The following is a 9,851-nucleotide window of genomic DNA, read 5'->3' as shown; positions in this document are numbered from 1 at the left end:
AAACAGAAGCCCTAGCATTTCTCTAGTCTAAACAAGGAGCTCCTTGATATTCTCTGTGAAAGTCCACTAAATTCCCTGTAAGTGAGCCCAGCACCAACTCTCCCTGCAGCTGCACAGCCAGACATCTGGGCCAGAGCTGATGGCATAATTAGGCCTCAAACCAGGTGTAAGTGCAATCAGAGTGGAAAATATGTGACCACATCCTTGGTGAACCTTGTGCTCCTCCCTACACCGAAAGGAGGCACGCTGATTGTATGTGAGTGTTTCTTGAAAAGATTTCATTACATAAGGGTAATTCTCACAAGTCAAAGAATGTACAGGGTCACCCACACTGTAGGAGTTATATTTTACTGGAACTTGCCATAAATTGACAGAGAAAGAGATCCCAGGCAGAAGGATAAAAGAGATCAAAATAGAGTTCCTCAAATGAGGACAGAGAGGAATATACCTAGGGGCTCAGAAGGGAGGCTGTGCTTCTCAGAGATTCTGGGTCACTTGCCATGACACGTAGTTCAATGTTCAGGATTCTCATATAAAAGACTCCAGAGATTCTTCTCTCTAGTAATAGCCTGACAAATCACATTTCATTTTCTCAAGGAGGGGTCAGGTAATCACTTTGCCTCTAGCTCTAATATAATTGCATGGACAGGTGGGGGTTAGCACTAGCGTGACATCAGATGGCCTTAGCCTGAATCCCATCTTCACCACCTATTAGCTGCCTCATTTTTCTGCACTGTAAAAAGGGGTACCTATTTATACTATTGTTTATTAATAATGAAGATAATTCAAGTAAAAGCGCTTACCACTGAGACAGGCAAGATTAACCAGTATGAAAGCTACTATAGAAGACATTGCTAATGGTCTGGCTAATGCCCATCCCTCCCCACATTTTATTTGAAAACAGATGCCTGAGAATGCTCAGAGTCAGTGCCCAGTTCCAAGCAAAAGAGCATGATCTGTTTAGACCAATTCTGAGTACTCTATTCACCACTTTCCCAAGCTCCCTTGCAGTTGGGGTTTGCAGATGCCCCATTTCTAGCCAATGAGAACTTTAGCAGAAAGTTCTTGGGTATGAGGGGAGGGAGGGAGGTGGGAGGGGTAGTTCTGAGTAAGCTTTTGTTTTCTCAGGCAGAAGGAAACAGACAAAGAGGCAACAAACATGAGGAAAAGGCCACAAGAATCTCAGAGTCAAAGTGCTGACACCCCTGAGCCACTGAACCAATACTCTAGATTCCCTAGGTTGTGAGAAAAGTAAAACTCTATCTGTTGCGCATTATCTTACTTTCAGCCATTTTTTAAAATGGATTAGACCAAATAAAAATATCAAATTGTACTGATGAAAAATTATTTTTACTTTTCCTAGAAATTTGCTAGTCATCGCTATGGGAATGGGAAAATAAAAAAGTGAAAAGGGTCCACTAGAGTTTCCTCACCTCAAAGTACACCCAAGTGAGTGTGTGTTTAGGCTCCCCTTCTCTCCTGCCCTGCTAGAAACTTACAATGCCATGAGAGGGAGTCCTGGCTGCCACAAGGAGCACGTTTTCCTTTAAGGCTACAGGGATACAGACACAGGACAATAAAAAGTAGCTAACACTTTTTGAGTGTTTACGGTATGCCAGAGACTGTTCTAAAAGTATTACACAAATTGACCTATTTAATACAATCTTCTATCCACTGATATGGGTACTATTATGAACTCCATTTTACAAAATTCTGCTTAGAAACTGAAAAGACACAGAAAAGTTAAGTTACTTGCCTAAGCTCACACAGCTAGAAAATGCGTGTGATTCAAACTCAAGCACTGAGTCTATGAATTTAAGCACTACACATTAGTTCCTCTCCCTCTAAGAAGAATGGCAACAGGTCCAAGTTCAGCAAGATAAGGAGTTAAAATTGATCTGGAACATTGATCTGGCAAACCTTTTAAAAATCCCAGTCTCAAATTTTGCCAAGTCATCTATTTCTCTAGCTCTTAGAAGTATCCACCATGTGAGGAAATAGGTCAGTTGATTTAGAAAGATAAACAATCTAAATGCCTACAAACAAATAGAGAGTAGATGTTTAGGTTTAAAAAGGATGATGAAGAGACCCATTCAAGGGGAGAGAAATGTATGGAGAGATAAAGATGTAAAAGTAGCAGTCCAGAATTTAGAAGTTTTGGGTAACATTTATTCCTTCCAGTACCAGCTCTCTTGGCTGTCAGGATGTGTGTTTACTCTCACGTTTTCCTCCCAAATATTGAATTAAAATGTGCCCACCACAAGCATTCCAGCATCTAACCTGGGAAACTACCCATCTATCTACTTAAGCAACAGTCTAGAAATAGCCTAGAATTAGAGTAATCTTAAGTTCATCTGATCTTACATAAACCTATTATTGGATAGATGCTGTGGCTCACACCTGCAATCCCAGCACTTTGGGACACCAAGGGTGGGGGGCAGATCACTTGAGGCCAGGAGTTCAAGACCAGCCTAGCCAACATGGTGAAACCCCATCTCTACCAAAAATACAAAAATTAGCCAGGTGTGGTGACACGCGCCTATAGTCCCAGCTACTTGGGAGGCTGAGGCAAGAGAATCCCTTGAACCCAGGAGTGGGAGGTTGCAGTGAGCTGAGATCGTGCCACTGCACTCCAGTCTGGGTGACAGATTGAGACTGTCTCAAAAAAAACAACAACTTACTGAAGAACAAACATACATTAGTGTGAGCTAAGTTGTCCTGTTTGGGGTGAATAACAGGGTTAAATAAGACAATTTTGAAATTCCCTTTTCATATGGTACCTGAAGTAAATTATGTAAAATTTCATTGTAAGATAAATAAATGGCTTAAGTAATCAGTAAAAGCACCTTTTGTTTCTATTGGCCCTTGGTAACCATTGCAGTATTTCTAGTGGAGACCAAATTCATGTTTGTTTGCATGCTCATCTGTTCAAGATATAAACTATTGAGTTCTTGCAAGGTAACAGACACTGTATAAAACCATTAACAAAGAAAGAGATGTGCCTCGTATTCCTTCTATTTCTTCCTAGAGCTCTTAGGAGTAGAAAATAACTTGTATGCTGGTACATTAATGTGTCTTCTACTTGCCTGTACCCATGAAACAGAACCATGAATTCTCTCATAATCATAATAGTGGCAGAGTTAACTCTTTCAGAAAGGGTCTGTTTGAAAAGTAATTAGCATTTGAATTGAGAAATGATTGATGACTTAAAGACAATAAAGTGTTTATTTATTTATTTTTTATTTTTTTGGTTTTAAGGAACAGAGAGTTTAATAGGCAAGAAGGAAGGGAGAAGAGAGAAGGAAGAAGTTTCCCTGTACAGAGAGAGGGAGAGGGGCTCCAAAGCCGAAAGAGGAAGTCCTCACCTGATGCAGATACCAGCTAGGTATATATGCAGAGGCTGGATGAGGCAATGTCTGGTTTGCATAGGGCTCAGGGGATTGGTTTGACCAGGCATGTCATTGACATAGCTGCAAAAAAGCTGGCTCTCCCACTGTAGCCTTTTAATATGCAAATGCAGGGTGCCCTGGATGTTCTACACATGTGGAGATATGTGGGGAGATATGTTGAGAGCCAGGTAGGCAAACTTTGATATGCAAATGCAGGCCATTAGAAACTGGGTCCACCCAACATGGTGATTCCCATGGCCTTCATGCCCTTGCCTGACAATAAAGTGTTTAATTCAGGGACTCCAAAAAGACAAGATTGACTTTTAAAATCATTTGATAAATGCCCAGAGGATTCACCTAACTGATTTCATTCTTTCTTGCTTTAAAACACATATTCCTATCCAAGGCGATTCCCTCTCCAAGGGGACATCTAGTGCCCCTCTCAGGAAAGTAGCAACTTGGAATAGAATCTGGCATGCCTAAGGTCTTTGAGGAACAGGGATGCTTATTTCCTCTGCCTTCCTTGGCTGCCTACATAGATACCTAAGTGTCTTCCCTTCGGGATAGATTGTCCTCTGGTGCACATGCTGAAGAGTTGTCTTTCTTGACATAGGCCAGAGGCATTGATGTGCAGCAGGTTTCTTTAGTCATCAACTATGACCTTCCGACCAACAGAGAAAACTATACCCGTAGAACTGTTTGAAGTGGACGGTTTGGCCGTAAGGGTGTGGCTATTAACGTGGTGACAGAAGAAGACAAGAGGACTCTTCAAGACATAGAGATTTTCTACAATACCTCCATACCTTCACTGAGGAAATCCCCCTCAATGTTGCTGACCTCATCTGAGGGGCTGTCCTGCTACCTAGCCCCAGCCAGGGTTCAATCTTGGGGGTCAGAGGAGCTGCAGGAGGCGGGAGGGAAGGGAGCCAAGGGATGGACATCTTGTCATTTTTTTTCTTTGAATAAATGTCACTTTTTGAGGCAAAAGAAGGAACCGTGAACATTTTAGATACCCTTTCTTTAGGGTAGGCTCTTGCCCCAGGCACTGGCTCTTCTCCCAAAAAAATACTAATCCATTTCCCTAACCTAGTAACCTCCAGATCCCAGAGGCTTTCTTCACCTCAGCTGAGCTCCTTTGAAAGTGATTCAAGGGACTATGTCACTCAGCCTCACTTGCTGGACCAAATCTAGAGGGAGAACCCCTAAAACCCCGGAGTGAGTTTGCCCAGGGGATTGAGTCCCCAGGTCCGGGGAAGCTGGGGAGAGAAAATAGTAGCCATTTTTTACATTGTTTTGTATAGTATCTATTGATTCAGGAAACAAACACAAAATTCTAAATAAAAAGACTTGGAAGCTGCAAAAAAAAAAAAAAAAAAGAAAAAAAGAAAGAAAAAGAAAACCACCTATTACTTCCTTTATTCCCTAGCATCCTCAGAACTGTCTACTGCCTTCAAGGACACACACACACACACACACACACACACACACAAATAAGGACTATCATCAACCACTCTAATCCTGTTCCCAAAAAAACACAGATTTAGAGTATTAAAAATTGTTTTCTCCCCACACACACCAAAAACAAGCCCACTGGATTAATGTCATCACTAAATTGCCTGTTCAGTGGGTGATAACTGTTCTGAAGAAAATTGTCTGCATGTATTTTATTGATCACCTTTAAGGAACCAAGCAGCCTACTGAATTTCAGCTACATTTTAAGGAACCAAAACAGGTTATGTCATCCCAAAGCATAAGAGTCCACATTAGGGCTATATTTTTTTATTTCAATTTTTATTGTAGATACAGGGAGTATATTGCAGATTTGTTACATGGGAACATTTTGTAACGCTGAGGTTTGGAGTACAAATCCCATAACCCAGGTAGTGAGCACAGTATCCCATAGGTAGTTTTTTAACCCACTTCCTCTAGACTCTCTAGTAGTCCACAGTGTCTATTTTTCACCAGGGCTATTTTCTAAGGTGAAAAAAAAAACCATAACTGCCTACTATTAAAAAAAAAATTTATGTCAATAAACGAGGTAAAAGCAGACCAATTAAATTCAGATCCTTGTTGTTTCTCGCCATCAAGAAAAGAAAAAGTGTCTAGGATCATGAAGAGCATAATTACCTCTTAATTCTGGAAGAATGACACTGAATGAGACATGAAGAGACTATGTGACTAGTTGGAACACAGGTTTATCTCCAATTTGGGGATGTTTCCTTCATTGCAGCCCTGTGACTATTACTTTATCTAAAGTCTTATGAGCAGGCATTATTTCCTGACAGCATAATGTAAAGTATTTTTCATACTGACTCAGTGGAAGTCTCCAACTCTCACAGAAATGAAGGGGCGATTCAGAAAGGAAACTACAGGTGGTAACATGGTTCACCTCTCCTCCGGATTCAAAACAATTACTTTGTGTTCAGGTTTTCAAGCCCTTGGCAGCGCCACTTGCCAGCAACCCTCAATAGAGCGGAAGAGAAGCAAAACTCTCAGCTGCAATAGCAGGCCACAACAGATGAATAACATATTTCCAGATTAATTGAGTAAGAACATTTGGCCATGTCTGTCTGATTTATTTTATTGTATGATTTGCAGGCGAATAATGAAGACTGAGTTCTTGATTATAAGATTTGCATTCCTCCACTCTATTGTAAAAACTCATACAAGAACTGTCTTTTCCTACATTGATACAAGAGTTTAAATACATGGTGGAAAAAAAGATGGGCTGGCAAACCACAAGTTTCCTGTCTAGTATTTTTAAGGATTCAGTTCCTCCTCAAGTTACTAAAAGCCATCAATGACAAATTTCATCTCCTTACCTCACAATTCTAGATGTTCCATTTTCTGTACTACAGATGGGCAAGAAAATGTGGTATACTTTTTCATATATGAAGAAATCCATGTCAAGTCATCATGGCTTAAGATATGCACTGTAAGCCAGTGCAGATTTTAGTTTGAGCTAACCCCCAAGTATAACTGATTTAGTAAGTGTGAGATTTGAGAGCAGACTACAAACTACAGCCCCAAATTACAGGACTGTAAATGAAACTAATGGGTTCAAAGCTAGAAAGAACTCAGGCTGCTAACTTCAAAAGCCCTTTGATGCAACATACGGAGCAGCTGCATAAACTTCCAACTACCAGCTCTGACTTTTTGCAGGACAAGCTACAGCTTTATATAAATTCATGGGATAGACTAATTGTGATAGACCAAAGCATAGGGTTGACTACTGTCGATCTCTTACAACAACACAACAGAAGAGAACACAGATTGTTCCTGGCAAGGGGACTTCTTTGGGCCAGAGGACTGGAGAGAGGCCCTTACCCAAGAATGTTCTTGTGGGTAGAAGAAGTTGGAGCTTGTAAATAGGCTCCATTTCAAACATCAGCCACTGCTCAAAGAAAAAGGTTGAGTAGAAAGTAAGAATTCATATTTTTTAAAGTGACTGAAAAAGAAGATTTAAATATTTGTTTCAGTGGTTTTCAAACATACATGCTTCAGAATCACCTAGAGTAATCAACGAAACACAAATGCTGGAGCCCACTCTGATTAAGAGGCCCAAGTTGAGACCCAACACTGTACACGTCTAAGTACCAGGAGATACTGATGCTGCTGGTCTGGGCATCACACTATGAGAGCCACTCATCTACACCAGGGTTTCTCATTTTCAATATGACTGACATTTTGGGACAGATAATTCTTTGTTGTGGGGTACTGTCCTGTGCATTGTTGGATGTTTAACAGTACCTGTGGCCTCTATGCATTGGAGGCCAGTAGCAACATGGCCCCAGATATGACAACTGAACATGCCTCTGCAGAAAACGCCACTCCCCTCCACTCCCAGATGTTCTGCAGGGGGAATATTGCCCACTAAGAACCACTGATCTAGACAGATAACAAAAGAATATCACTCTATTGCTGAATTCAACTTTTTCTAATTTTTAAAATGTGAAGAGGTTTACCTTGGTCTTATTTTAATTTTTTTGAAAACCTATTTAGTATTTGGTAACTGTAAATATTCCTCTTTTGTTTAAAGTTCTGATAGGAATATGCGGCAAATTCTTCAGACTAAGAAATAAGATTCATGTCTCAGTTCTGATTTATTAGGCAACAAGGACATAAAGCAACTTTTGGCTAGCCATTCTATGACATTTGATCTTCCCTAAATATCAGATATTTGTATATGATTGAGATGTGTTCTCTAAAGTGCTTTCAGATTCAAATATTTTACCCACCTCCCTAGAGTAATCAATAAAGAGTAGATTCCTGAGTCACCTTAAACAAAGAAAATAATGCTTAACACAACCATGACAAAAAAAAAGAAGGAATTAACATACTCTGGGTAAAAAAATCCCAGAGTGAAAAAATAATTAACAAAGACAGGTGAAATGCCTCAGGAAGGAGGTGATGCCCTGATGCCCTGACACTAAAAACAAATAACAGGCATCAGTTCATACACTAATATTTTATTGAAAAAATAAATCAAGTGTGAGCATACACCTTTGGGACAGAGACACTACTGAACACATAAAAAAACCCCAACCAACTGCCTCAGGAAATAAAAAGTGTAAATACTTCTCCTTTAAAGTTCATGTGAATACTGTTAATTTAATATGAAATTTAACATTAAAGATTTTAAAGATTCATGTTTTTAAAAAGGGGCACAGAAAGTCATTCTAGCAGTTCATAGGCCAACAGCAGGCAAGATCTTCAATTAATCTCTCTATTCTTTCTGGCACAAATTTCTGTTTCTGTTGGTTAGAAAGAACTAATGAGGGTTTTTATCACTGGAGGAATTTAACATACAAATTATGGTAAGAGTAGCAGGAACTCCGTTTCTAATTCAATATCTTTCCAAGCATTACTCTTTTTTTTTCTTTACCTCGGAGCACTCCTATTCTGTAGATTTGCTATATTTTCCAGTATTTGTTCAGTCTGCTTAGTGTAAATCAACGTGTGCAAGCCACACATGGAAAATCCCTGTAACATTAAAAAGCAAATATAATCAAGCCAAGGTTTCAACACATGCCCTAAAGCCTTAAGATGTGCCCCTAAACTACAGTTTTGTGACCTTTTATAGAGGAGAATTCTGGAGCGAGATTTACTTTTGTTTCCTACATATACAGAGTGGCCACAAGGCCCAAAAAGAATGTTACAGTAGAGCAATGAGGACTATGCAGAGAAATTTGTCAGACTTTTGAGAAAGAATAAGAGGACAGTGGATCAATGGACCTAAATGAGACTTGGACTTAGACACCAGCCCTGCCCCACCATCCCCCAGATCACATTCCAATGATACAGGATTGAAAGTCAAAACTTATTCACATTTGTGGCTCAAAATAATTGTTTTCGGCCAGGCGCGGTAGCTCACGCCTGTAATCCCAGCACTTTGGGAGATTGAGGCAGGTGGATCACTTGAGGTCAGGAGTTCCAGACCAGCCTGGCCAAAATGGTGAAACCCCGTCTCTACTAAAAATACAAAAATTAGTCAGGTGTGGTGGTGGGTGCCTGTAATCCCAGCTACTCCGGAGGCTGAGGCAGGAGAATTGCTTGAGCCCAGAAGACCGAGGTTGCAGTGAGTGGAGCTCATGCCACCCTACTCCAGCCTGGGTGACAAAGCAAGACTCCTCCTCAAAAAAAACAAAAACAAACAGACTATCTATTTGCAACACTACTATGTAAGTTTCCTCACACCAACCAATTCTCCAGCTATCTAGAAACTAACTGGGTGTCCTACAATTCAATTCAATCTTGATACTAGCTACCTGGAGCTAGTGTGAGACTACACAGGTTTAAGGGCTTAGCCCAACAAGAGTGCCCCCACTTCAGATGCTAGTCACAACATTGGGTCCCCAGGTTTTCACACTTCCATACTTCTGTCTGACTTGGCTACACATTGGAGATTCCCATGAACCACCCACTTGGGGCTCAGTGTTTTTGCTCAAACAGCTCACAGAACTCAGAAAAATTGTTTACTTACTATTAGCAGTTTTTTAATAAAAGATACAACTCAGGAACAACCAAATGAATAAGGTGCAAAGGACGATATTTGGGAGTGGAAGGCAGGATGGTGCAGAGCTTCCATGCCCTCTCCTAGAATGCCACCACCCTCCCAGAACCTCCATGTGTTCACCAATCTAGAAGCTCTCTGGACTCCACTGTTTAGTAGTTTTCATGGAGGTTTCATTACATAGGCATGATTGATTAAATCATTCACCATTGGTGATTGAACTCAATCTGTGGTTGCTCTCGTTATACCAGAGGTCAGGAGGTCATGCTGGAAGTTCCAACCTTCTAATTACATGGTCTTTCTGGTGACCAGCTCCTATCCTGGTCACCAGAAAGAAACCAGCTAAAGACCCCAGCCACCAATCATCTCATCAACCCACAAAAGATACTCCAGCTGTGCACCAGGAACCAGGGACAAAGACCAAATATATGTTTTGCATTGTACCACAA

At 40.6% G+C, this 9,851-nt stretch overlaps 1 non-coding gene and 1 pseudogene across 1 annotated transcript; both read left to right on the top strand.

The window, feature by feature from the left end:
• Window positions 1-3,788: 3,788 nt before the first annotated feature.
• Window positions 3,789-3,928, top strand: LOC124900238 (small nucleolar RNA SNORA67). The gene has a single exon (XR_007060653.1). It is a non-coding gene; the product is annotated as a small nucleolar RNA SNORA67 (small nucleolar RNA).
• Window positions 4,002-4,432, top strand: EIF4A1P13 (eukaryotic translation initiation factor 4A1 pseudogene 13; annotated as a pseudogene).
• Window positions 4,433-9,851: the final 5,419 nt, after the last annotated feature.

This window comes from Homo sapiens, chromosome 7, assembly GCF_000001405.40.
Source record: "Homo sapiens chromosome 7, GRCh38.p14 Primary Assembly".
NCBI classification, from domain to species: Eukaryota; Metazoa; Chordata; class Mammalia; order Primates; family Hominidae; genus Homo; species Homo sapiens.
Note: the sequence above shows the minus strand (reverse complement) of the source record. Positions and strands in the feature narration are given on the sequence as shown.